Genomic DNA, 27,783 nt, shown 5'->3' with positions numbered 1-27,783 from the left:
CATGTGGGGGGCTCAGAAAATTTTTCTGGATTGGAGCCCAGAGGGATAATTGAAAACCAGATCCCTCTCAGCCAAATAGGATGTCTGATGATTCTGAAGACCATCTGCATGGGAAGGAGCGCCTTAGCCCAGCAGAAATGGTTCCAAGCATGTACTTTGCTGAATCTCCTTGGATGTGGGTGTAGCTGCCCAGTGGGAGGAGCAGCTAAGGATAGGCTTGGGACAAACCTGGGGAAGAAATGTTCATGATATAGAAAATGAAAGAAGCCAGCAGCCTATATGCCCTTTAAATGGAAAATCTGATCCACTTTATGTAGACATACCTGCATAATACACATTTAAAACATGAAAGAAAATAAATGACATGCCAACAGGTTGGCAGGAGTTATCTCTTGGGGTGGGATTATGGGTGCATTAAGTTTTCCTCTTTATATTTTCCCTCTTCTATATTTTCCAAGTTTTCAACAATGAAATAAACATAACCAGAAAATGGCTTCCAGTCTAGGGCTCACAATGCGTGTGCCTCAGACTGTGAGTGAGAAGAAGGAATTTGTGCTGTCATATTTCTGTTCTTTCTCTCTACCCTCCTGCTACCTCCTGCTCCCCACTCCTGCCCCGTCCATGCACCCTGATGTTTACAGCGGCCCCAATGCCGGGCCGACATGAGTGCCAGTTGTGAGTTGTTCTCTCCCACTCTGTCCCTGTCTGTCTTGCTCTCTCCCATAGCCAAGATCTTGGGGAAGGTGGGAGAAAGCCTCAGCCGGATCTGCTGTGTCCGCCCGCCGGTGGAGCGTTTCACCTTTGTAGGTGAGGAACCAAGGAACTTGATTCCCAGTCCTGTCTCTTTTCTTTCTCTCCTCCCTTCATTCCTTCAGCAAAGATCCTCAAGCACATTCCCCCCACCGCAAATTCCCGTGATTGTGTGTGTGTGCGTACTTGTGCACAACGTATCCCCCCACACAGGCGTTGCACACACAAGGGCACATCGAAGACTCAGTCTTTCACATCTTCCTGCAGGCACTTGCTACATTCCACCATGTGAAAAAGTTCTGCACCCACAGTGTGCTTGTTCTTTAAACCAGGTAATCCCTAAGGAGAGCCAGCCACCTCTTGTGGCCCAGAAAGCCATCTCCCTAGGTTGTAAGGATGTTGCTCTTGTGGCCAGCCTCCCTCAAACACAGAAACAGAAGGCGCTCAGCATGAGCGTGTGTGTGTTCGGCATTGGCTCCCCAGCCAGGCTGTCTCATTCTGAAAGTCCCAGCAATGTGAAGTGCTGCTCCTGGAGCGGGAGGAAAGCTTCCTGTCCGTTTTATGCCTGACTGCTCTCCATTCACCCTCCTCAGGTGGCACACCACACCCCTACTTGCACCCACCCCACCCCATCCCAATAATTCCTGCTGAGGCCCTCAGGCAGACTGTGTGTTGGGTACCAGGAAGCCTGTTCCCTAATGCCCTACCTTCCTTCTTTCCTCCTTAGATGAGAATGCCAATCTGGGCACGGTGATGCGGTATGAAGAGATTGGTGAGTGGGACTGCGAAAGTGCGGAAAATGGGGACATTTGGAGCTCCCTGCCTTCACGACAGGCAACATGGGGAGCAGAGAGGCTTGAAAACCCAGGGACTGTTTTGCAGCAGGGTCTCCTCTCGGAAGAGGGATCGTTCCCAGGCTAAGATTGCATTCGTAGTTAGCTCCCTTTAACATCTCTTAACTGGACTCCAGCCAACTCCCAAGAGATAGGACTGGATCATTTGGTGATTTTTCCTTCAGAGCCTCCACTCCCTCCTCTAAAAAACATGAAAGTTGAGCTTTGGCACCAGCTGGAAAGACCCTTCTTTTGGGCACAGACACTGCACACAAATGAGGCAGAAGAGCACCCCGGCCTTCCTCATTCAGTGCTTGTAGATGAAGAAACAGAGAGGGGACTGAAAGCCACCTCCACACCTCCCTTGCAGCCTTGGGCAGAGGCTAAGGCACTTCACTGTCTGTGTGAGGGCTGCCTGCCCAACCCAATACCAGAGCAGGCCAGGGCAGGCCCGAGCCGGTGGAGGGCGGTTACACAGCTGTCAGGGTGGGAAGAAGTTGATGACCCCTACAAGCAAATTGAGAAGCAGATAGGAACACTGAAATCTTCCCAGGGTTTCAGAATGGTGGGAGACGCAGGTGTCTGAAGCTGGGGAAAGGGCAGGGAGACACCAGAATAGAGCTGGAGCTGGCACAGGTACCAGGGGACAAGAAGGGTCAGTGACATCAGGAATGCCTGGAGCTCTAGGGCAAGGCAGCCTGGTGTCCACACCCTCAATCTTCAACTTCCAGCTGAAAAGATCCTCCAAGCATCCCTTCCTGGTACTTTTCTGTCCAAGGACTGGAAGTCAGGGCTCCCACTGCAATCCTGAGAGGCAGGGTTTGTCCTGAGCACTTGGTTCACACAGACCCGGCAGATGTGATGTCATTTCAAGGGGCTTCTCTGGGTCTCATCCTCTCATCTGAGGTGCAGTGGTGTCCCTGAATTGGCTCAGGTGGTTTCCTACAACCATTTGTAAAGTTTTCAGGAATTTTGTGAACCAGTTTTAAATAGAGCCATTACTAAAAATTAAGTTATATTAACTTAAAATTAAATTTAATTAAAAACAAAAGGAATGAATACTCAAAACTCCTCACTTCTTGATTATTTTACTAATTTTAATATCCTTTATTGACCAGCAAGTCACTCTCTGAAGGCCACAGGAAGGAGCACCCGCCTTCCTGGTTGCTCCCCAAAACAGGCAGGAGCATTTGGCTCTAGGTTCTCCAGACCCAGAACACCCAACAGGCAAGGATGGGAGGGAAGGTGCCTGGGCTGGGCTGAAAGCTCCTGCACTCCACTTCCCTGCAGTTCCAGCCTGGTCACCACCTGCTGCCTTCCCACGCAGTCTCCTTGGCCAGCAGAGCTCAGCCTTAGGACTTCTCATTGTATTCCAGTGTATTTCTCTTTCCTTAGTCCAGAGATGTATTGTGGCAAGCTTGAGCCATGGCCTTGCTTGCCTTCCTAGCGCCTGGGGCAGGTGGATCAGGCACTCCTCATCCTGACTCAAGGAGTCCCCTCCAGGAGAGGACAGTGGTGATCAGTATTGCACAGCGTACTGCTGTGTTCACTTCCATTAGCTCACGGCTACCTCGGGAGGGGCAGGGGCCTCTGCTTACTCTTCTTGCTCCATAGCAGTTCTGGAGTTATGGTGAGCCAGCCGCCAGGGACCAAAAATGCTGCTGGGGAGTGACCTCTCACCTCTGGCTTCCCTGAGGCTCTGCCTGTCCCCTTCCACATCCCCTGTGCTCGCTGAGAGGGAGGGTCTACCTGCATGTGATGGAGAAAGGACAGTGTGGGGTAGAGAATGGAGAACACTTAGGTTCCGAGAAAGGACAGCTCAGCAGCCACAGCTGTCAGATTGGGCTCAGGTCCTGGCATGGTCCAGGTGGTGGCTGCATGCAGTGGAAACTGGGATGGGCTGCAGGGCCCGGGCTTCACATAGCCCGGATTCCTGGGAGGGGAGTGTGGACAGAGAGTGTGCATTCTGGCTCGTGGCCCTGGATCAGCGTGACCTGGGGAAGGAGGCTAGCCCAGAGGAGCTGGAAGGGAGCTCGCTGCCTCCCGACTCCTGCGCTGTGTGAGGCGCTGGGGCTCACGTGTCCCCTTTTTTAATATTTCCTTCCACACTAAATGAGGAGGAAAAGCCATTTTCTCCTAGCTCCATTAGCGTCTGTTGACCCTATTTACATGCTCCTAACAGCTGACTGCTCCTCCAGGGCTGCCCTAGACCACAGGCTGTTGGGCTGGAAACTTGCCTTAGCCTCATAGGACAAACTGGGAGAAGTCACTGCTGCCCTCCAGTGGCCATATGTGGGATCTCAAGCCCTGCTGGGGCCGCTTGTCTGACTTAAATGTTTGCACTGGTCCTGCAAGAAAGGGTGGCAGAGACCGTACTCTTGAACTCTTTGTGCTTTGGCTTAAAACATAAAAGTCCCATATTATATTTGGTTGGGATAGTGTGTCCCTGGCTTGGGAATAGGAAAGAGATTTATTTTCATGGCTGTAAGCAGGGATTTTTAACCTTGGCACTAATTGACATTTGGGAACAGATGTGTTGGGGAGGGGGGCTTCCCTGTGCATTGTAGGATGTTTAGCAGCACTCCTAGCCTCCACCCACTAGATGCCAGTAGCATGCCACCCTCTCCCTCCAGTCCTGACATCCAAAAATGTCCAGACATTGCCCAATGTCCCCTGGCAATTGCAAAATTGCCCTCAGTTGAGAACCAGTGATGAGAGAAAGCTGAGGGCCAGCACATTCCCTGTTGACATGACCATCTAATTCAGGGCTGTCCAATCTTTTGGCTTCCCTGGGCAACATTGGAAGAGGAAGAATTATCTTGGACCACACATAAAATACACTAACACTAGGCTGGGCGCGGTGACTCAAGCCTATAATCCCAGCACTTTGGGAGGCCGAGGCTGGCGGGTCACCTGAGGTTGGGAGTTCAAGACCACCCTGACCAACATGGAGAAACCCCATCTCTACTAAAAATACAAAATTAGCCGGGTGTGGTGGCACATGTCTGTAATCCCAGCTGCTCAGGAGGCTGAGGCAGGAGAATTGCTTGAACCCAGGAGGCGGAGGTTGCGGTGAGCCGGAGATCACGCCATTGCACTCCAGCCTGGGCAACAAGAGCGAAACTCCATCTCAAAAAAAAAAAAAAAAAAAAAAAAAATACACTAACACTAACAATAGCTGATGAGCAAAAAAAAAGAAAAAAAGTCGCCAAAAAAAAATCTCATAATGTTTTAAGAAAGTTTACATGCCGAGTGTAGTGGCTCATGCCTGTAATTCCAGCACTTTGGGAGGCCACGGTGGGCAGATCACTTGAGGTCAGGAGTTTGAGAACTGCCTGGCCAACATGGTGAAACCCCCTCTCTACTAAAAATACAAAAATTAGCCAGGTGTGGTGGCAGGCACCTGTAATCCCAGCTACTTGGGAGGCTGAGGCAAGAGAATTGCTTGAACCTGAAAGGCGGAGGTTGCAGTGAGCCAAGATCGTGTCACTGCACTCCAGCTTGGGTGACAGAGGGAGATTCTATCTCCAAAAAAAGAAAAAAAAAAGGAAGTTTACGAATTTATGTTAGACTGCATTCAAAGCCACCCTGGGCCACATGTGGCCTATGTGCCTTGGGTTGGACAAGCTTGATCTAACTGAACTTATAGGCAGTCAGAATTACAGAGACGTGCCCTTTCAACAGAGAACTGACCTAGAACCCTGGGTGGCTCCAAGTGGGCCTGAGGAACAACAGAATCCGAGAAATAAGCCTAGTCTGGCTCCTGTCAGCAATACCAAGTGTGGTTCCTCTCCACAGTTGGGGAGTTGGGCCAGAAATCCTATGGCGCAACGCAGAGGCGCCACTGACTCAGGCAAACATTCTCCCCAGTGACCCCATGCTGCAAGAGCAGAGGCCACGATAGTCACCACAGCCCTCCCAGATTGCCCGGAAGGCAGCCTGCAGGATCTCTGTTGTCAGCTCATCTGTTGCCTTACCCATTCAACATGCCTGAGCACCTACTGTATGCCAGTGACTCTGCCAGACCCTGGGGCTGTAAAGATAAAGGAAAATCCCTGCACACAAACAGATCATTAGACTAAGGTATGTTAGAGAGGAGAGAAGACAGGATGCAGGAATATTTCATAGTTACAATCCAGTCCTCAGTGGGGCTCCCTTACGTGGGAAGGCTGCCCTGACCCTGGGACCATGAGATGCTGGCATTGCCCACCATTGGCCCAGTAGCCTCCCCCCTGCTTCAGGAGTCCCACCTAGAGACTCATTCCACAGCAGGGGACAGCTTACCACCTGAAAGCCTTCGTCAGGTCCCAGAACTAGCCACAGGGTCTAAGGCAGGCAGGGCTGCCCGCAGCTTCTCTGTCTCTCGCCTGGGCCTCAGGGCCCCAGGGCCTGTGCTGGCAGCTGTCTCTGGAAGGCTGGTGGTGCCCTCAGTGCAGACCTGCCTCACTGTTTCAGACAAGATGCCCAACAGCCTCGGCCTCTTGATGAGAGGGCCTGGAACGCCTGGGAGCCACGCTGTGCTCCACCCTGAGCCACATCCTGGGTGAGGACTCTCCTCACGGTATTCTCAGAATGTTGTTCCCCACTGCTCAGTTTTAATAAGTGAGTCAGTTTGCTGCCTGTTTTAAACAACAATGGGCCTCACTGGGATAATTCAGAGTGAGCTTAATGAGGGAAGAAAAACAACTGACAAGCAGGAAGTGCGCCTGGGTGCCAGGAAAAGTATGGGCACTGGGAGGGGCCTCAGCCTTGCTTCTCAAGCCCTTTGCTGGGGACAGTGGCCATGTGACACATTTTATACACTCAGCTACCTCAAGGTACACTCACTGTCCCCTCACACCCCCTCCCATGTCAGGGAGACAAACTCCAGACAATGCACAGTAGCAGAGAATCCAAACTCTGTTGGCGTTTGAGCTTGACAGGGAGCAAGAGAGAGTACCTCAGACCTTAGACAAGATGCGTAGCTGGCTCAGCCACAGTTACAATAATGAACCATCCTGGCTTAGCCCTGAAAGATCTATGTCCTGGGAAAGCCAGGGCAGTCGATCACCCGCTATGCTCTACTCTCCTTGCATGAGTAATTCCTCCCACAGGGGATGAGGGTGGTCTGGAAATGAGCCCGAGGAAGAGGTGAGCAGGGGTTTCTGCTCTGCACACACTCAGGGGCAGAGGCACCTGGGATAACTGGGCCCCACATCCCCAAAGGTGGGAGAGTTATGTATTCACCAGGGGAAGAAGGCTGAGGGTCAAATGCTTCCCGGGCCACCACTTACTCCCTTTGCAAACTTTGCTCCCCTTCCTCAGAGCTACGGATCCTGCTGCTGTGTGGTAGTGACCTGCTGGAGTCCTTCTGCATCCCAGGGCTCTGGAACGAGGCAGATGTGAGTAGCAAGGTTATTGCCTGGCACCCAGCTGGGACTGGGAGGGATGGGAAGTGTGCATTTGATTTTGGCCTCCTGTCTTCACTTCTTCTGAGCTTCTAAGAGGGCAGTCCGTTCACATCACTATGGTAGAAAATTCTCACCTACCCCCAAGCTTTATCTCCTACTGCATTTTTACACTTACTCCTCCTCAAGCTTGCTCCAGTAAAGCCCCTGGGAAAAAAGCAAGCTGAGTCATACAGTATCTAGCACCAAATAGTGCTGGGGTATGCATGTGTTGCCGATGGGGAGAAGGAAGGGAGAAAAAAAAATCTTTGCCCTTTTAAGATTATTGTGTGTTTTGTTTTCCTTTGATTCCTTTTGAAGAGGTGGTAAATACCATCCTGGAATCCCCTCAAAAAGAGAAAATTGGTCCAGAGGGGAGAAGTTCATGGCAAGAGGTCAGCAGGATCCTTGGCAATTGACTTGGCATTGAGGGAACCAGGAGGTTAAACTTACACCACTTAGGAGCTCAATGACACCTTTTGTTGCCAGATCTGACTGTGATGATCTCAAACCAGCTCACCCTTAAATTACTCACTCTTCACACATACGTTCGTTCTTATTCCTTCATTAATTCATTCATCTGGTAGCCTGAGCTAATGCTAGCTCCCAACCCCATAGCTCTATGCACATTGAATTCCCAAGGCAGCAATTCTAGATGTAGTGCTTTTTGATTAACTTGCTGTGTGACTCTGGACCTGCCTCAGTTTTTTTGTTTGTTTGTTTGTTTTTAATCTGTAAAATCTATAGAATGTTATCTACAGGATTCTGAGATTTTAAAGAAACGTTGTACTATACAATCTTTGCCCCCAAGTAATAGGTGGCATGACATACACATATGAAATATGTTCGTGTACATTTATGTGTCTCTGGACAGAGATCGAGGCAGGACAGAGGCAGGACAGGGGCAGGACAGGGTCAGGCTCAAGATTCAAGTTCTACTCCAACACAGCTCATGACAAAATATATATTCCTTTTTTTTTTTTTTTTTTTTTTTTGAGACGGAGTCACTCTGTCACCCAGGCTGGAGTGCAGTGGTGTGATCTCGGCTCACTGCAACCTCTGCCTTCCAGGTTCAAGAGTCACTGCAACCTCTGCCTCCCAGGTTCAAGCGATTCTTCTGCCTCAGCCTCCCAGGCACCTGGAATTACAGGCACCTGCCACCACGCCCAGCTAATTTTTGTATTTTTAGTAGAGACAGAATTTTGCCATGTTGACCAGGCTGGTCTCGAACCCCTGACCTCAGGTGATCTGCCTGCCTCAGCCTCCCAAAGTGCTGGGATTACAGGCGTGAGGCACTATTCTCTTCCAACAAAATATATTCTAAGCTTCAGTTTTTTCCATCCCTGAAATGAGCCTAATAATAGTACCTACGTCCCATGGGTTTGGAAGGCTTAAATGGTATTGTTTTGAAAGTGCCTAGCCCCAGCACCTGACATACAGTCACGCTCAGCAAAGATAATAAGTGAATTTACCTAAATACACACACAGATACACACAAAGCTATGTAAGGTGAAGGGCATAAATGCTAACATGCTGTAGGATAACCAAGATGGGAGGGAAAGTTTCCGGGAAGTAAGGTATACTGTGTGAAATATACAGTCCTCTCCACCCTGGAACCATTTCCTAGAGGTGAAATTTTAAACCTCCTTTCAGTTCTTAATTAAGTGGCTTAATTAGCTTTTGCTTTCCTGGCTAATTCACAAGGAGCTATGAAAGTCAAAAGTAATGCGGGCAAAGTTCTGTACAAGAGCTCATCAAAGCTCTTTCAAGAATCCAGGCAAATCTGGGCAATTGCCGGAGGCCCCATTTTATTGCGGAGGCCTGGGCCGTCCTGGAGGAATTTAGAGGGACGAGGTCAGCAGCTGTGGCACAGCCTGGAGTGCTGTGGAGGAGGAATCCCTGGGGGCTATTTACTAAGTGTGATGGGTGAGGAGCCTCCTCTCAAGGGCAGACCCAGGCTTCCTGGAGCGTGAAACTTACACAATTTGGGGCCTTGCTGCAGGCCAATCCCTCTCTTCTCCTCCCAGTTAGATTGCTGACTTAGATCACCGGTCCTCTAACTTCTCTCCAAAATGGCTGGTCTTGGTGTTGTCAGATACCAACATTATAGGACCAGGGAGAAGAGCCCCAGGTCTCTCCTTTTCTGATTGGTCCCTGGTGCTGAGACCAGGGTTGGTTGGTTAAGACAGAAAATCTGAGAAACTAGTAGCTGTTGATTTACCAGGGATGTGACAGCAGAGGTGGAGTGAACTCACTGGGTCAAATATGTTCCCACTTGACTACTTGGCAAGTCCCAGCCCCAACCCTCTTCCCTTTCTGGATTCCCCAGGGAGATCATAGAATTTCTGTCCCATCTGGGTGGTTGTGGAAAAAGGGGAGGGATTCTCCTATCCCATTTCCAATCCCCATCTGAGATGGATGACTTTGGAACATCCCCTGGAAGCCAGGGACGGGTGAGATAATGAACCAATAGCAAGATCAGGTGACCAACTAGTCCCCGTTTCTGCAAGACTTACCCGGTTTTAAAACTGAAATACTAGGCTGGGTGCGTATTACACCTGTAATCCCAGCACTTTGGGAGGCCGAGGCAGATGGATCACGAGGTCAGGAGATCAAGACCATCCTGGCTAACACGGTGAAACCCTGTCTCTACTAAAAATACAAAAAATTAGCTGGGCGTGGTGGCGGGCTCCTGTAGTCCCAGCTACTTGGGAGGCTGAGGCAGGAGAATTGCTTGAACCTGGGAGGCAGAGATTGCAGTGAGCTGAGATCACGCCATTGCACTCCAGCCTGGGTGACAGAGCAAGACTCTGTCTAAAAAATAAAATAAATAAAATACGGAAATGCTCATATCCTGGGATCTCCCTCAGTCCTGGGTTAGCCATCCTGGAGTCCCAGGACACCCATCCTAGCTATGCTCAGAGAGTACCACGTCCCAGGCCAGCAGGGACCCCACATCTAGTTTGCCCAGGGTGGTGAGAAATCCAGTCCCCTGCAGAGGCAGCAGAAGGATTTGGGTGAAGCAGACTCCCAAGCTTGCTTCAGAGGGCTTTCTAGAGCCTGGAGCAGACCTGCTTCCCCACCCTGCCAGCCAACTGCTCAGTCCCCTGCCTCAACCCACAGCTGATCTGCGAGGTCCTTAGAATCATTGAGTCTGAGACAGGGAAAAATTTCAAGAAGCTGTTTCCTCACATAATGAGTGTGAATCTCAGTCTATGACAGAGGTGTGCCGGAAATATCATGTTAATGTATTTAAATCAAATTAACATTCCACTCCAAATCCCTATCCCACAGGGTAATTTTAGTCTCAGCCATTATTAATTAGCAGACCTGAAAGGCTCTTGCACACCCCGAACATGAGGACAGGACTTCAATCTCAGTTCACCATGGTCACCACAGACATCTTCCCTGTCCAAGCCTTTGTGGTCCCTTGAAGTCAAAGGTGCCCTGCTCCACACCCACCTGGGGCAGGAACTCCTGGCTGAGTCTGGAGGCCTCGTGCTGGGCCCCATTGTGATCACCAGGCCCGTTCTCCTCTGAGGTTTTGCCCCTAGTGTGCTGCCCAGGAGAGAGGAGGAGTGGGCTCCACAGACCTCTAGCATCTTCCTATTGTAGGGAAAGTTGGTGGGAGGGCAGCAGAACCTGTTCTTTGTTCTTTCTATCCCCAAGTCATCTTCCCTATTTTCTCTCCCCGCTTCAGGACATCTAATGAAATGTCTTTTTTTTCTTTTTTTTTTTTTTAGAGACAAGGTCTCACTATGTTGCCCAGGCTGGTCTCGAACTCCTGAGCCCAAATGATCCTCCCACCTCCGCCTCCCAAAGTGCTAGGATTACAAACCTGAGCCACTGCACTAGGTTCAAAATTTCTTCAATGAGTTTAAAGGCATTGACTTCAGGCCAGGCGTGGTGACTCACGCCTGTAATCCCAGCACTTTGGGAGGCTGAGGCAGGTGGATCACCTGAGGTCAAGAGTTCGAGACCACCCTGGGCAACATGGTGAAACCCCATCTCTACTAAAAATACAAAAAATTAGCCGGGCATGGTGGCGGGCACCTGTAATCCCAGCTACTTGGGAGGCTAAGACAGGAGAATCGCTTGAACCCGGGAGGCAGAGATTGCAGTGAGCAGAGATCGTGCCATTGCACTCCAGCCTGGGTGACAGAGCAAGATTCTGTCTAAATAAATAAATAAATAACAAATAAATAAATAAAGTTATTGACTTCAGAGCATTCTGGTTTTGTCCTGCAAATTCCTCCTGTAAAAGATCTGGCTGTCTGCTAGAAATAGAGCTGGCCAGCCAGGCGCAGTGGCTCACACCTGTAATCCCAGTGCTTTGGGAGTCTGAAGTGGGTGGATCACTTGAGGTCAGGAGTTTGAGACAAGCCTGGCCAACATGGTAAAACCCCATCTCTACTAAAAGTACAAAAATCACCCAGGCGTGGTGGTGCATGCCTGTAATCCCAGCTACTCCGGTGGCTGAGGCAGGGGAATTGCATGAACCCAGGAGATAGAGGTTGCAGTGAGCCAAGATTGTGCCACTGCACTCTAGCCTGAGTGACAAGACTCCAAAAAGCAAAAAAGCAAGAAAGAAGGGAGGGAGGGAGGAAGGGAAGGAAGGAAGGAAGGAAGGAAGGAAGGAAGGAAGGAAGGAAGGAAGGAAGGAAGGGAGGGAGGGAGGGAGGGAAAAGAAAGGAAAGAAAGAGAGAAAGAGAGAGAGGAAGAAAGAAAGAAAGAGGAAGGAAGGAAGGGAGGGAAAAAAGAGAGAAAAAGAAAGAAAGAAAGAGAAAGAAAGAAAAATAGAGCTGGCAGAGGAGGGTGTAGGCAGCACAAAATTACTTAGCACCTCAGTGAATTAGTCCACTGCTCTTATTTGGGGAAGGTTGGATCTCAAGGTCTGGAAAAGGAACATCTTTCAGGAGTGGATACAGAATGAGCCCTGCTTATTGTACTAGCAAGTTCTACCATCTGGGGTTTGCCTGGAAACGCCCATTTTAGGAATTTCAGTTCCTAACCATGAGACTCCTGGAAGCGAGATATGTGAGACCTGCTTCTGTTTCAGGTTTCATTCGTTTGCCCATTCATTCATCCCTTTCTCAGAGCACATTTCTCTTTATTATCGGGTGCCCCGAGTGATACTTGTTGACCACAGACTTTGCTTGGAGACCATGAGGCCAAAACCCTGAAATCTGCTGTTAAAAGAATAACTTCAGCTGAATTACATTTAAAAGAGTTTAATTGAGCAATGAACAATTCACGAATCAGGCGGCATCCCATGCCAGAGTAGGCTCTCAGACTCCAGCGCAGCCATGTGGTAGAAGTTTTATGGACAGAAAAAGGAAGGTGATGTACAGAAAATGGAAGTGAAGTACAGAAACAGTCTTATTTGAACACAGTTCGAACAGCTGGCTACATTGATTGGCCAAAACTTGGTAATTGGCACAAATGTAAGCTAAAGCCTGTTTACACCTCCACTTGTTATAGTTCACCATGTACACAGAGAAATCTTTAGGCCGAACTTAAAATATGCAGGGAGGCAGCTTTAGGCTAAACTTGATTTAACACTGCCCATGACTGGGGACAGAAGGGCAGGAGGGAGATCAAAGCTTTTTCTAGGAAATGTCCTAGGCCCCGGCCCCGCACTCCAGCCTCTCATATCTTCTCCAAATATCTTCAGAAACAAGGCAGGAGGGATGCCACTGGTTCAAATGGGTCTGGGGAGAAAGCCTGAAGGGGCTGTGGAGCAGCCCGGCCTCCAGCCAGGCTGGAACCGGCTGAGACCGTCTGTTGGACAGCAGGACTGACAAGGCCTCCTCCAGCACCAACACACACTCTCTACTGAGTCAGTTTTGCTCTTTCTTTCACTTTGGATTCTTGAACCAAAGCTCTCCATCCAGAAATCTAATTATATGACTAATGGGATGACCCCATCCCCACCCCAAACACATCCCTTGTGGCATTTCCCATTAGGCACAAAGATCCATTAGCCCACAGCAAATTCTGACCCTCTCTGACCAGTGACACACCCTTCCCCTTACATTCCATGGAGAAAAAATTCCATACATAGTCATCGAGTTTCTCTCAAGTGTAATAGAACAGAGTGGCTGTATGGGAAATCAAGATCCAGACTTCTGGACCAGCCTCGGAGATCAGAACCCAGCTCCTGCCACCCCACTGCATTCCCGAGTTCTTTATTGGAGAACTAGTCTCTCCCAGGAGACCTGCTCCTTTGCTTTGCTGCATCCTGACACCAGCATCAATGCAGGCATCCAGGCATGGATCAGGGACTGTGGGAAGCCAAGGCCAGAGGCTACAGGGTCAACCATGGGCAGATTTGTGAAGCAGAAGGCATTTGCACTCACTCCTCTCCCCAAAACAAAACCCGTTGTGTAGGGATCCGATGCTGCCAGCTGCTTTGTCCATCACTGTGCCCAGCAGGCAAATTAATTCTGATTCAAGGCCAGGTGTGGTGGCTCATGCTTGCAATCCCAGCATTTTGGGAAGCTGAGGCAGGTGGATCACCTAAGGTCAGGAGTTCAAAACCAGCCTGGCCAACATGGTGAAACCCCATCTCTACTACAAATACAAAAATTACCTAGGCGTGGTGGCAGGCTCCTGTAATCCCAGCTACTCAGGAGGCTGAGGCAGGAGAATTGCTTGAACCCGGGAGGTGCAGGTTGCAGGGAGCCGAGAGAGCGCCACTGCACTCCAACCTGGGTGACAAGAGTGAAACACCATCTCAAAAAAAAAAGAAAAAAATAATTCTGATTCAAGCATTCCTTTCTTCAATCAATCTTTCAACAAATGCTTATTAAGTGCCCAGGATAAACGTAGCATGTATTTATCCTTGAGGCACTTGCAGTCTAAAAGTATCTTACTTTTCATTATAATATTTCTTTATACTATATTAACTATAACATGTGAAAAGTTTAGAAGAGTTCCTGAACCTAGTAAACATTCCATAAATGTTGGCCGTTATTCACTTATTTTAAAATATTTATTGAGCACCCAGCCATGTGAGAAAACAAAGTAGACAAAGTACCTGACCGTGCACTTTGCTTTCTGTGGGAGGGGGTGGCCCTTGAGCTGGGCTTTGAATTGTGAGCAGGACTGGGTTAAGTAGGTGGAAAGAGAAGAGCTTTTTAAGGAGGGAAGAGGATATAAAAGATTCGGTGGGGGGAACAAGACCTTTGGGGAGATGGTTCTGGTTGGTTGAAATAGGTGGATCCTGGTATTTATTTGGGAAGGTATTAACTTTTGAGCAAGCAGCAAAATCATTAAGTTTAATGATTACATGTATTAGCTGCTCTCAAGAGTATTTGCATTTCAAATGAGCAAGAGTCAATATTTAACCCAAAAGAGTAAAAACTTGGGGATGGAACATCAGCCACCAGAGATGGCCACTGAGGGAATTGTTTTATCTTTTTTTCTTTTTGCGCTCCTCAAAGCCCAGCATTCCACAGGCTGGTTCTAATTGGCTGTATCCTACATTTTTCCAGCCAACCAGCCGTGGGCTAACTGCTTCCTACATCCATCAGCTATGGGAAAACAACCAAAGAAAATAAACAGAGGAAGAGCCTCGGGCATTAGCCACTCCAGAAGAAATCCCAGGGCCCCAGGATAAATGGAACAAAGACAAACTTTGGCTATTCAGGCTCAGATGGTTTTTATCAGACAGTCCAGCTCCAGCCAGGAAGCCTGATGGACTCTTGCACCCCAGGGATTAGGCCCCCACACTGATACGACTGATACCAAACGATACCAAATTACAGTCTCAGGGGAAGGAGGCTCAGCTCCTGCCAATGGGGGATTCTGGCTGTTCTCATGTGAAAGGCACTGTTGGTTTGGTTTCCAGGCTGTTGACTTGAGTCTGGAATCCCCTGCCTTCCCACACCCCCAGTTAAGTTGGCAGTGGGAGTGGGGATGATTTCATCTGGGAAGCCCCTCTTAAGAATGGTTCTCTCTCTTTTTTTTTTTTTCATTAAGAGGGCCATCCTGGAAATGCATTTCCACCTGCTGGACTCTGACCTTACTGGTTTCCTCCCAGCCTTTCCTCCAGAGAGTGGCAGGGGCTACAGCAAGGGTGGAGGATCCTTTACTGAAATGGAGGGAGCATGTTTCAGAAGCTGCTCATATACTGCATGGCTTTTGTCACAAGTTCTCTCTTTGCATCTTTTTAAACTCATCCAGAAGTATACTAAAATTATAATACTCTAAGGGTGATACAGAGTACCCCAGCCTCCCAAGTAGCTATGGTAAGCTGGGGGAAAAAATAAGGTAGAATGTATTTTCAACTAGAAATACTTCTTTAACCAAAAAAGTTTCAAGGCCAGGTGCAGTGGCTCACTACTGTAATCCCAGAACTTTGGGAGGCCGAGATGGGTGGATCACGAGGTCAGGAGATCGAGACTATCCTGGCTAACACAGTGAAACCCCGTCTCTACTAAAAATACAAAAAAATTAGCCGGGCGTGGTTGCGGGTGCCTGTAGTCCCAGCTACTTGGGAGGCTGAGGCAGGAGAATGGCGTGAACCCGGGAGGCGGAGCTTGCAGTGAGCTGAGATGGCGCCACTGCACTCCAGCCTGGGCTACAGAGCGAGACTCTGTCTCAAATAAAAAAAAAAAGTTTCAAGTCACTACAATATGAGTCTTAAAAGTGGATCTAGAAGAGGTGTGATGTGGAGGAAAGAGTCTTTAAGGCAGACCACGGTGGATTCCATTCACATTCACTCGTTAGCTGTGCAACTTGGACAGGTTATTAAATCTCACTGAGTCTTGGTTTCCCCACCTATGAAATAAGAACTGAGGCACATATCTCAGAAGACAGTTGTCATAAGGATTAAATGCGATAAGCTCCTAGTACTGTGCATGGCACATAGCAGGCACCTTAATCAATGTTTCTTCCCCTCCTTCCCAATGGGCCCATGTGCATCCCTGACTATCCTTATCCAGAGAAGAAACACAAATGGGCTGCAGTCGCTGATGTACTGTACCTGAGAAGAGAACACTGTTTGGGAGGGAAACTCAGGCTTCAGAACGCTGATCTCAGGATGGCCCTGCAGAGGATCTTGCCAGTTAAGCCTGCCAGGGCAAATCCACATACATTGGATCCTGTTGCCGATGGAAGTTTCAAGTCCTGTGTTTAAAATACTCTAATGGCATTTCTTTGCAATTGGAATGAAACCCTGTCTTCATGATGACCTGGTACTTGTCTACTTTTCCAACCGCAGTGTGTCCTAGTCCCGCCTAGTTTATTTAAACAGTTTTCCCCACCTCAGGGTCTTTGTACTAGCTGTGGCCTCATTGGGAATCCTCTTCTCCTAGATATCCCTGTGCCCATCCCTTCGTATCACGTAGGTTTCAACATAAAGGTCATTTTGTTTTATAATCAATATTGTACTTAACTCTATTTGATGTTTTCTTTTTATTTATTTATTTTTCAGAGACAGGGTCACACTCTATCACCCAGGCTAGCGTGCAGTGGCGTGATCATAGCTCACTGCAGCCTTGAACTTCTAGACTCAAGCAATCATCCTGGGGTCAAGCGATCCTCTTGCCTCATCCTCACAAGTAGCTGGGACTCAGGCACGTGCCAACACACTCAGCTAATTTAAAATAAAATTTGTTTTTGTAGAGATGAGGTCTTACCACCATGTTGCCCAGGCTGGTCTGGAACTCCTGGCCTCAAGTGATCCTCCCACCTTGGCCTCTTAAAGTGCTGGGATTACAGGTGTGAGACATCACACCTTGCCATGATGTTTTCTTATTTATATATTTATTTGTTTATGATCTCTCCTTACTTGAAGGTAAGCCCTTTGAGTACAGGAAACTTGCCTGTCTTATTTGCCAATACCAGAACAGTGCCCAGTTCACCATATACATGCTCAATAAAAGTTTGTTGAGTGAAAGGGTGCTTGAGAACAACTTGGTTGGAGGAGTTCAGCTCATAAGACAGTTTGCCTCCCCCATGGGATATGACCCAAACTTTTGCCAGTTACCCATAATATATTAGTCACTGTAAGATATTAGCCACCCGGTAGTAACCTACTCATATCTTCACAGCAGTAGATACAATTGAAAATAATCATTTGTTTAATGTCTCACACTAGAGAGTGATCTGTCCAAGAGATGAATCCATATCTGCCTTGCTCAACCCTGCATGCCTAGTGTCTAGGAAAGTGCCTGGCTAAGACCACAAGTCATCCACCCACTCAAAGCATCCCTTTAAATCCAGCAAGGCAGGGCAAGAGGCTGAAATTCAGCCTCTTGGAGGGATGATGCAAACTCTACGTTCCTTCCAAGAGCTCTGCTGCCTGGATCATGAGTGTTTTCTCTTCCAAGGCCAAGTTGCTTCCTGCCTCAACATGTCTCATATCCTTCCCTCAGATTCCCCACATTTGGGGAAGCAGAGTCTACCCCCTCCCACATCCTCTCCCCATCCCTATCCCTACCTCCCCTGGGGAGCCTTTGACCAGAAGATGAAAAGATATGATCAAAGCTGTGCCTGTGAGCAGGAAGTAGAAGCAGGATAAATGTCACAGACCCCCACCTCTGAGGCTCGACATATGCCAGTGCTAAACTGAGGGCCACTGTATGCTGCAGGGGGAGAAGATTGTGTCCTGATCCTGCCCATGGTGTGGGGTCACATTGGCCACCATCACGAATGAGATTTACCAATCAGGACAGTTCTACCGCATTGGCCACTCGCCCACCCCACCTCTCCACCCCCAAGGGCAAGACCCATAGAGAGCTCTTCATGAAGACAGGAGGTGCTGGTCCCCTCGAGCAGAAAAATAGTTCAGTTCCAGAGGCCTGGGCACACTCCTGCAGGCGGCATAGGAAGGGGATCTGAGTGCCCTATGCTTCCTGGGGTCAGATGTCTGCCCTTACACCCCCCCACTCCCCAGGGCACAGGGGGAATGTCCTTATTCTTGCTGGACTTCTCAGAGGTGCTGAGGTACCTGTCCCACAAGTATCTCATTTTGACCCCACCCTAAACAAGCCAGAATATTAGCAGCTTAGGTAATTGTCCATGTGATTTAAAGCAACAATTCCCAAAGGTGGGTGCACATCAGAAGGATTAGGGAGCTTTGTTAAGAGAGAGGCTGCAGCCCCTCGACACATGCTATATCAAAATTTCTCAGGTGAGGTCTGGGGAATATGTTTGTTGTTGTTGTTTATTTTCTTTTATTTTTCACAAATAATACTTTTTATTTGTCACCCTTAAAAGTCTGAATTTTTACAGAGTCTTGGTCCAGTGGCTTTTATCCACCAGCTTGTTCAACTTTAGCCCCTGTCTCTCCCCCAGTGGTTTTTCCAGAGCCACTACCTTCACCACATCCTCTCCCCATCCCTATCCCACGATGTTAGTGAAAACATCGCGGACAGGACAGATTGGCAAGCCTTTTCTGTTTTCCAATGCTGTCTGGGATCAATTTATTGACCACTTCTTTCAAATCATTTGTCTACAACAACTCCTCTGCCCCCTACCCCGTCATGATTACCATCATCTTCTCCTAGATTTGGCAGACCTGTTGGTGCTGAGCCTAAGAGGTCTTCCATATCCGATTGTTGCCTCTTTTTAGTAAAACCAACGCAGAATAGATGAAGCAAATAGCCATTGGTAGTCTTCACATCAGCCTGAGCTTCAATCATGGTCTGCCATTTTTTTTGACAATAGAACGCATTTTGTCATGGGTAAGATCCAGGCCATGGAAGTGAGTCAGGCAGTTTTTGCCCTGGAGATCTTCAGTAATTAGCTTGAATTTTCTAAATGCAACTTCAGCCTTCTGCAGATTAGCAAGACTCACTTCAAATGCACAACCCTTAAGGCTATCACAACCCCATGCAATTTTGGTTTCTTGCATCCTTGGGACTGGTGTTTTTCCGTTATTTCTTATATGGAACATATAGCTGGTGTTTTTACATCATACCAGTCTTATAAAACGAATCAAGCACTCACTTCTTGGCTCCCTTTTTGCCACCTTTTGTAAAGCGACTATTCTTGCCAACCACCTTAGTGCTGCTTAGAGAACCAAAAGGGTGAAAGTGCAACTCTGGTGAGAATTTAGGCTTAAGGGGTGGGAGCGCACAAGGGATGCAGGTTTAATTAGGGTGGCCAGACAGGATCTCACCAAGAAGGTGACATTTAAGTGAAAGATTTTGAGCCAAGGAGCAACATAATTTGGCTTATATTTTAACATAATCAGTCTGGCTATTGGGAATAGACTAAAAAAGGCAAGCAAATAACAGGGAGACCAGAGCAATCCAAATGAGAGATGACAGAGGTGAACTAGTTTCCTAGTTCTGCAAACTTGGTGGCTTAGGATAACACATATGTATTCTCTTACAGTCCCAGAAGTCAGAAGTCTGAAATAGGTTTTATTGGGCCCAAACCAAGTTGTTGGCAAGGCCAACAACTCCAGAGAATCTAGGGGAAAATTGGTTTCCTTGACTTTTCCAGCTTCTAGAGCTGCATTTGTCGCATTCATTGGTTAATGGTCCCTTCCTCCAACTTCAAGCTCCACAGTGGAGCATCTTCAAATCTCTTTCTACTCCATCTTCCCATTATCTTCTCTCTTCTGGGTCCAATCTCCCTCTGCCTCTTGTAAGGGTACTTGTTACTGCATTTAGGGCCTGCCCAGATAACCCAGGATAATCTCAAGATCCTTAGTTTAATCATATCTGCAGAGTCTCTTTTGCCATATTCACAGGTTCCAGAGATTAGAACCTGGATATCTTTCGGGTTCATTATTCAGCCTAACAGAAGAGGCTTGGACCAGTATAGAAAGGACAGACATGATGAGAAATGAGCATATTCTTGGATTTGTTTTGATGGTAGAGTCCATTGGACTAACTTATAGACTGAATGTGGGATATAAGAGAAAGAGAGGAATCAAGGAAAATACCAAAGCTTTGTGTCTGAGCAATTATAAGAAGAGAATTTCTGCCGGGCATGGTGGCTCACACCTGTAATCCCAGCACTTTGGGAGGCCGAGGGAGGTGGATCATGAGGTCAGGAGTTTGAGACCAGCCTAACCAACATGGTGAAACCCTGTATCTACTAAAAATACACAAATTAGCTGGGCATGGTGGCGCATGCCTGTAATCCCAGCTACTTAGGAGACTGAGGCAGGAGAATCACTTGAACCCAGGAGGTGGAGGTTGCAGTGAGCCAAGATTGCGCCACTGCACTCCAGCCTGGGCAACAGTGAGACTCTGTCTCAAAAAAAAAAAAAAAAAAAAAAAAAAAAGAAGAAGAAGAAGAAGAGAATTTCTATTTATGGAAAAGGTTATAGGAAAACCATTTCTTTGAGGGGAGTGGATGGTTTAACTATTTGTTTATGTTAGCAGGTCCAGGAGCTCATGGACATATTAAGTTTGAGATGCCCTATCCAAGTGGGCATATTGAGAAGGCAGCTGATACATGAGCCTCCAGTTAGGAGAGAAGTTAATGCTGGAAACATTAATTTGGAAGCCTTTAGTGTGCTTTTAAAACTTCAAAATTGAATGAAATCATGAAGGGTGTGAGTGTGAATAGAAAAGAAAAAACGTCCAGGGACTGAGGCTTGGGGGAATCCAGTGGCTCAAGGTCAGATAGAAAAGGAGGAATTAGCACGGGGGCCCAGAAAGGAGTAGCCAGCAGCCAGAGAGGTAGGGCAACCAGGAGAGGGTAGTGTCCTGAGGCCTGGTGAAGGCTGGCAATGGGGGCTTGAGGTGGGAAGGACAGCTAAGCTCTTGGAGGGAGATGGGTACTCGTTGGACTGAGGGCACATCTCACCAACTCTAGCACCTAGTACCTTCCCTTCCCGAACCCACACACACATGCACACACGCAAATACCGTCCACCATGAACATTGTTTCTAAGCAGCGCAGTTCATTGAGCAAGGCGTGCTTTGGGGGCAAGGGACCCAGATTTTCTCCCATAATTCTCCAAACAGGTGCTACAAAAACAGTGTCTGGCCAAAGGAGCAGAGAGTATCTGCAGTCTCTGGCCTGAACCCCTGCCATGATGCCCTAAAGCTGTAGATCTTGTCTCATAGATCCTGTCTCCCTCGACCCATCTGTGATTCCCAGGGACAAGTCTGTCACTGTTTTTGGAAAAGGAAAACATCTTAAGCAGTAAGGCCTCCATCTGCTTGCCGCCCACTGAACAGCCTGGCACAGTTATTCATTGGGTGCTCAGATCATTAGGTACTGAGTGGAGAGCAGCAGCTGCACTGATGTCACCCACAGGGCGATTCCCCCATGAGGACTGCTATTCTGAGCCATTATTTTCATGGTTTAAATTAGAATGCTCACTTTATATAGACCCATTATTACAAACATCATATATGAAACATTCATCAAGTTTACAGAATCAATTTGAAGGCAGATCCTACATTATGCAATCTATACTAGGTTATCTTGAAACATCTACATAACCACGCAGCTTAGGAATCCCCATGGATACCAGCTTGGATAGATTCTTTCTTCTCTCCTGTCCTCCTTTCTTTTCTCTCCTTTCCTCTGCTCTTCTCCTCCCTTCTCTTTTCTATCTCTTTCTCTGCCAATTTCCCCGGAGCTTTAATTCAGTACTTAGACCACTGGTTCGCCAACTTTGTTGCATATTGATATTATCTGGGGAATTTAAAGAAATACTGCTGCCTGAGTCCCAGCCCCTCAAACAAAATTCTGGGGTTTTGTTTGTTTGTTTTTGTTTTTGAGACAGAGTCTCGCTCTGTCACCCAGGCTGGAGTGCAGTGGCGCGATCTCAGCTCACTGCAAGCTCCGCCCCTCAGGTTCACACCATTCTCCGGCCTCAGCCTCCCAAGTAGCTGGGACTACAGGCACCTGCCACCACGCCCGGCTAATTTTTTTTGTATTTTTAGTAGAGACAGGGTTTCACCGTGGTCTCGATCTCCTGACCTCGTGATCCACCCGCCTTGGCCTCCCAAAGTGCTGGGATTACAGGTGTGAGCCACTGCGCCTGGCCCGAGATTCTGGTTTAATTGATCTTAGGTGTGAGCGGGGCTTTGGAAATGTTTAAAGCCCCTCAGGTGATTCTAATGTGCAGCCAAGTTTGAGAACCAGTATCTAAGTAGTGAGTCCTAGTGCAGTATCCTAAATGCCATGGCAGAAGGAGCTGGCTCTAACTCCCTGCCCTGACTCTCCTTACCATTTCTGGTTTATAAGACAAGAGATTTGGTGTCAGTTTACCTGATCTGAACACCACCAATAGATGCAGTGTGTTGTGCAATGCTCTGTATCTTCCAGATTACATGATCCAATGGGGGCTCTAATATTCTACACCTAGCTTTTTAACTTCTCTCTACGACATTCCTCCTAAGACACCTTCAGCCAACTTTTTATTTCAGCGACATCAGAGCTCCAGCTGCAAGTTTAGGTCCAGTTGTAAGCAGTAGGAGAAGCAGGGTAAAGGTGGACAGAAATATTCAGAATGTGCACACACAAACACACACACAAAACCAGTAAATCAGGCTTAGAAATGGAATTCTGCTGGTATAGAAATCCTCTGGAGAGAAGGGGCCACCGTGCCCCAGTATATTTGTTTTTGTGCCACTTGTTTAGAGAATTATGGGAAAAAACCTGGGTTCCTTGCCCTCAAAGCAGGTCTTGCTCAGTGAACTGTGCTGCTTAGAAGCCACCTACCTCCTCCCCTCTTCCCCCATCTGGGATCCGTAATTGGCAAGATCTAAACAGTAATATGCCCAGGGTAGACCCAGGAGTATTAAATGCCGTAACTTTCAGGCTCTTTAAAAATAAAAGTTGGCACAAATTTCCAGAAAGCAACTTGGTGATATGTCTCAAAAGCTTGAATTATGTACAGTTTATATCCTTTTATCCAATTATATCATTTCTTATCCTAAGAAAATAATCAGAGATGTGATAAAAGATTTTTGTATAAAGATCTTCATTAAAGTGTTATGTATAATTGCAAAAAATCAGAAGTAACTGTACACATAGTGTAAAATATACAGATTATTAAAGGTTATGTTTTCAAATAATTTTTAACAATGTAAGAAAATGCTCAAAATATAATGCTAATGAAAAAAGGTAGGTAAAATGACTAATTTTATAATTTAATCCAATTGTGGATATATACACCTATTTGCAGAGAGAAAAAACTACAGATATACATTAGACCATTCACAGTCACTATCTGGATTGTATGATTGTGATTGATTTCTTTTTTTTTTTTTTCTGGATTCTCTAAGCTTGCATTACATCTACAGTCAGAAAATAAAAATGTTATTTCTTTTAAACGAAAAGAAGGTTTTGGCTAGGTACAATGGCTCACACCTGTAATTTCAACACTTTGGGAGGCTGAGGTGGGATGATCACTTGGGTCCCAGAGTTTGAGACCAGCCTGGGCAACATAGCAAGAGTCCATCTCTTCAAAAAAATAATTAAAAAAGTTAGCCAGGTATGGTAGTATGTACCTGTGGTATCAGCTATTTGGGAGGCTGAGGTGGGAAGATTGCTTGAGACCAGGAGGTTGAGGCTACAGTGAGCCATGATCTTGCCACTGCACTCCAGCCTGGGTGACAGACTGAGACCATGCCTCAAAAAAAGAAAAAAAAAAAATTTCATTTCTCACATGGCACTGAGCTTCTATCAAAGGCTGATCTCTGAAGTGACCCTAATCATCATCATCATCTCCCTATCACAGCCTGGGTGCCCAGTGATGCATTCCAAGAACTTCTAGTTCTAGCTTTTAGCTACCCCTTGAGTCCCACAGAAGTTTTTATGAGGGTGAGCCAGAAGAGCATTTAGTCCCTCTCATGACGTCCATCTGAGGGCTCAAATGTGCTTGCTGAACAGAGGGATCTGTTTCACTCCAGAGGGTGTTTACCAGGTAAGGACGCAATGTCATTCATGTGATTCTGCAGCATTGTGAACTTAACGGGAGCCTCAGGAATTGGAGAGATCTTGCCCAGACATATAAGAGTTCACTGATTCCTTAAGTCTAGGGTATTTATTAAGCGACTTCTGTGACCAGTCAATGCTTTCACTTATTCTATTAACACTGTTAAGTGTTGTTCCTTGAAGGAGCTGGCTGATGGGGCTGAGAAGAAGGCCGGTTTGGGACTAAAGCTTGGGGCTCCATGTGGAAGAATGGAAGCGGATTCTGCCATGCTAAGTAGTTGCTTGGTAGGAGTTTGGGATCAGGGTTTCACCAAAGGGCCCTCTCTCTGTTTCTTTAGATGGAGGTGATTGTTGGTGACTTTGGGATTGTGGTGGTGCCCCGGGATGCAGCCGACACAGACCGAATCATGAATCACTCCTCAATACTCCGCAAATACAAAGTGAGTCCTCCATCCTGCTAGTGCATCTGTGTTATGGCCCTTCTCTGAGAGTCCTGGCAGCTGGAGGAGTGAGAGAGCAAAAGGAGTTTAGTGGGAGGGACTGGCAACTGACTCTGTCTGCTCTGTCCTCAGAACAACATCATGGTGGTGAAGGATGACATCAACCATCCCATGTCTGTTGTCAGCTCAACCAAGAGCAGGTATGTTTGACAAATGGCCAGAGAGACTTTAGTCAAACTGTCTTATAAGTCTCCACATAAATTTCCTCCATCAAAGATGACCCTAAGATTCAGGCAGACATCTGCTGCCCTGGTGTTTAGCTTCCTGTTTGGACCTCATTTGTTCACAGCCATTTTACATTTTTTTTTTTTTTTTTTTTTTTGAGACAGCGTCTCACTCTTGTTGCCCAGGCTGGAGTTCAATGGCGCAATCTCAGCTCACTGCAACCCCCGCCTCCTGGGTTCAAGCAATTCTCCTACCTCTGCCTCCCGAGTAGCTGGGATTATAGGCACATGCTACTATGCCCAGCTAATTTTTGTATTTTTAGTAGAGATGGGGATTTCACCATTTTGGCCAGGCTGGTCTCGAACTCCTGACCTCAAGTGATCTGCCCACCTCGGCCTCCCAAAGTGCTGAGAATACAGGTGTGAGCCACTGTGCCCGGCCCCAGCCATTTACTTTTAAAAGGGAGGACAGTCCATTAGCTAGTCTTAGATGCTTTAAAGGGGAGAACAGGGTGTTTTCAGTTGTGGACTCTAGTTGGAGGTACTTATGGAATAATATTTGACAAGGGTACAGGCTAAGCTGCCAAAACAAAAAAAATTCCAATATTCAGAATTTTAAATGTTAGATGTTTAGTTCCCTCTTACTGAAGTCAAAGATGGAATCTATGGCCTCATCCATATGAAGCTTCCATCTCTGGGTGCACAGCTGCTGCAACAGTGGCTCTTCTCAGCCAGTGGAAAAAGGCAAAGTGAAGCCCATGGCAAGAAGCTTTGTCTTTAAGGTGACCCAGAGTTGCGCATACCACTTCCCTTTGCATCACACTGGCTCAAGGGTGGAGGACGGCTGGGAAATAGACTTTGTAGCTAGGCAGCCACATGCCCAGATAAAACTCAGGATGCTCTATTACTAACCCAAAGAAGGAAAGAATGGGTATTAGGGGCCAGTTACCAGTTTCTACCACAAACCCAAAGTGGAAATGTTGAGTGGAATGGTGAAATACACGGAATATAGAGGCTTAGAAGTGTAAAACTGAAAGCCACGAACACGTAAGTGTCAGTTAAAATTCTAGGTGTGGACAGGCCGGGCGCAGTGGCTCACACCTGTAATCCCAGCACTTTGGGAGTCCGAGGCAGGTGGATCACGAGGTCAGGAGATCGAGACCATCCTGGCTAACACGGTGAAACCCCGTCTCCACTAAAAATACAAAAAATCAGCCGGGCGTGGTGGCAGCCGCCTGTAGTCCCAGCTACTCGGGAGACTGAGGCAGGAGAATTGCTTGAACCCGGGAGGCAGAGCTTGCAGTGAGCCGAGATCGCGCCACTGCACTTCAGCCTGGGTGACAGAGTGAGACCCCATCACACACACACACAAAAAAATTATAGGTGTGGACAAGCTCACAGAAAGAGTCAAGAAGAGAAGACTATGGGGAACATTGCAAACATTTTAGCATTTAATAGAAAGTTAAAAGGCAGTTAGAAACCACTGGACCACCGGCAGTGGTGGCCCAGAAGCCAAGGTGAGAGAGGGGACAAAGATGGAGAGCATTGCCATCTGTGTCACATCTTTCAGAGAAATCAAATGAGACCAGGACTTTAAAAAGTAATTGCCTTCTTCCCTGGAAGGCAATTACAGAGACACTCACAAGGGTAACATCCACTGTGAGGTGAGGGCAGAAGCAATGGGCAATAAGCGGAGAGGGGCAGCATGTGGTTCCAAACATGGCTGCACATTAGAGTCGCCATGCAGAGTTACACAACAGTACAAATTCCTGTGTCCTGCCCAGTCCCACTGAGTCAGAATATATGGGGGGTGGGCTTAGGAATCTGCTTCAGAGCCACAGGTATACACACTTTTTCAAAAACTATGTGAGGAGGCACTTAGGGACCTAGCTTGCAAGGTCAGGGTGTAACCACCCAAGGGGTTCACCTTGCTCGCTGCCTAGACAGAGCAGATTCATCAAGACAGGGGAATTGCAATAGAGAAAGAGTAATTCACGCAGAGCCGGCTGTGCGGGAGACCAGAGTTTTATTGTTATCAAATCAGTCTCCCTGAGCATTTCGGGAGCAGAGTTTTTAAGGAAAACTTCATGGGTTGGGGAAGCCAGTGAGCCAGGAGTGCGGATTGGTCAGAGATGAAATCACAGGGAGTCGAAGCTGTCTTCTTGCACTGAGTCAGTTCCTGGGTGGGGGGCCGCAAATTCAAATAAGCCAGTTTATTGATCTGGGTGGTGCCAGCTGGTCCATCAAGTGCAGGGTCTACAAAATATTGCAAACACTGATCTTAGGAGCAGTTTAGGGAGGGTCAGATCTTGTAGCCTTCAGCTGCATGACTCCTAAACCGTAATTTCTAACCTTGTGGCTAATGTTAGTCCTACAAAGTCAATCTAGTCCCTAGGCAAGAAGGAGGTCTGCTTTGGGAAAGGGCTGTTGTCCTCTTTTTTAAACTATAAACTAAGTTTCTCCCAAACTATAAACTATAAACTAAGTTTCTCCTGAAGTTAGTTCAGCCTACACCAGGAACAAGGACAGCTTGGAGGTTAGAAGCAAGATGGAGTCGGTTAAGTTAGATCTCTTTCACTGCCTCAGTCATAATTTTGCAAAGGTGGTTTCAAGGGCAGTGCATGCATTGAAAGGCAGTGAGCTGGTCTCCAGTGAGATCTCACAGGCAGGGCTCAGATGCCTTTTAGAATCTACGTATGTGGAGGCGTATATGAATTTTTACAAATAGTTCGTTTGGGTCTGACACCTAGACTATTGTGTTAGGAGAGAACAGGAAGTAGGCAGACCAAGGCTGGAAAAAAACTGTGCAGAAGCCAAAATGTGTCACTGGAGTCCTTTATACCTGTTGGTGCCTCTCCTCCATGGGCTCCTGTAGGAAGGAAAAGATGCAGTGAATCCCAAAAATCCCTGGAAGAGAATTCATACTCTTGAGGCCAGCATGCAGAGGAACCCAAAAGGATAAACTAAGGATAGTTCTAAGAGGAAAGCTTCTAACAATAATTGCTCCCATTAAAACAGAAGAAAGACCCCAAATAAATTGCCTAGCATTATGCCTTAAGGAACTAGAAAAAGAAGAACAAACTAAACCCAAAGGAAGGAAATAATAAAGATTAGAGCAAAACTAAATAGAGAATAGAAAAACCATAGAAAAAATTAATAAAATGAAGAGTTGGTTTTTTGAAAAAAAAAAACAAAATTGACAAACCTTTATCTAGACTGAAAAAAAGACTCAAATATATAAAAT

General features: G+C 47.2%; 2 protein-coding genes and 1 pseudogene across 4 annotated transcripts in view, besides 4 other annotated features; 1 reads left to right on the top strand and 2 right to left on the bottom strand.

Annotated features, from left to right (window-relative positions):
- The window catches only part of NMNAT2 (nicotinamide nucleotide adenylyltransferase 2), a 170,144-nt gene that overhangs the window by 132,864 nt on the left and 9,497 nt on the right, over positions 1–27,783 (top strand). For both annotated transcript variants that reach the window (NM_015039.4, NM_170706.4), the window contains exons 6-10: positions 727–807; positions 1,478–1,522; positions 6,888–6,964; positions 24,214–24,315; positions 24,448–24,515. In NM_015039.4, coding sequence (NP_055854.1) covers positions 727–807; positions 1,478–1,522; positions 6,888–6,964; positions 24,214–24,315; positions 24,448–24,515 — 373 coding nt within the window. The remainder of the gene's footprint in view (positions 1–726; positions 808–1,477; positions 1,523–6,887; positions 6,965–24,213; positions 24,316–24,447; positions 24,516–27,783) is intronic.
- Positions 3,625–3,684: an enhancer, noted in NCBI's record as "active region_2213". NCBI's record gives its function as "activates an Ori minimal core promoter by ATAC-STARR-seq in GM12878 lymphoblastoid cells {active_cell/tissue: GM12878}" and the evidence as "EXISTENCE:reporter gene assay evidence [ECO:0000049][PMID:35858748]".
- Positions 3,895–3,944: a silencer, noted in NCBI's record as "silent region_1629". NCBI's record gives its function as "represses an Ori minimal core promoter by ATAC-STARR-seq in GM12878 lymphoblastoid cells {active_cell/tissue: GM12878}" and the evidence as "EXISTENCE:reporter gene assay evidence [ECO:0000049][PMID:35858748]".
- Positions 5,257–6,067: an enhancer, noted in NCBI's record as "H3K27ac-H3K4me1 hESC enhancer chr1:183248585-183249395 (GRCh37/hg19 assembly coordinates)". NCBI's record gives its function as "activates a minimal SCP1, AML or CMV promoter by ChIP-STARR-seq in primed H9 embryonic stem cells {active_cell/tissue: H9 hESC(primed)}" and the evidence as "EXISTENCE:reporter gene assay evidence [ECO:0000049][PMID:30033119]".
- Positions 6,068–6,879: an enhancer, noted in NCBI's record as "H3K27ac-H3K4me1 hESC enhancer chr1:183247773-183248584 (GRCh37/hg19 assembly coordinates)". NCBI's record gives its function as "activates a minimal SCP1, AML or CMV promoter by ChIP-STARR-seq in naive H9 embryonic stem cells {active_cell/tissue: H9 hESC(naive)}" and the evidence as "EXISTENCE:reporter gene assay evidence [ECO:0000049][PMID:30033119]".
- On the bottom strand, positions 18,246–19,017 carry RPS3AP8 (RPS3A pseudogene 8; annotated as a pseudogene).
- LAMC2 (laminin subunit gamma 2) overlaps positions 26,549–27,783 on the bottom strand; it is a 72,705-nt gene continuing 71,470 nt past the window's right edge. The window contains exons 23-24 of one of the 2 annotated variants that reach the window (XM_047420358.1): positions 27,382–27,408; positions 26,549–26,795 (exon numbers count right to left, since the gene is read on the bottom strand). In XM_047420358.1, coding sequence (XP_047276314.1) covers positions 26,575–26,795; positions 27,382–27,408 — 248 coding nt within the window. In that variant the 3' untranslated portion in view covers positions 26,549–26,574. The remainder of the gene's footprint in view (positions 26,796–27,381; positions 27,409–27,783) is intronic. The other variant, XM_047420361.1, reaches the window with a different exon arrangement.

Source organism: Homo sapiens, chromosome 1 (genome assembly GCF_000001405.40).
Source record: "Homo sapiens chromosome 1, GRCh38.p14 Primary Assembly".
Lineage (NCBI taxonomy): Eukaryota > Metazoa > Chordata > Mammalia > Primates > Hominidae > Homo > Homo sapiens.
The sequence above is the reverse complement of the archived record's forward strand: the minus strand, read 5'-3'. Positions and strand labels throughout refer to the sequence as shown.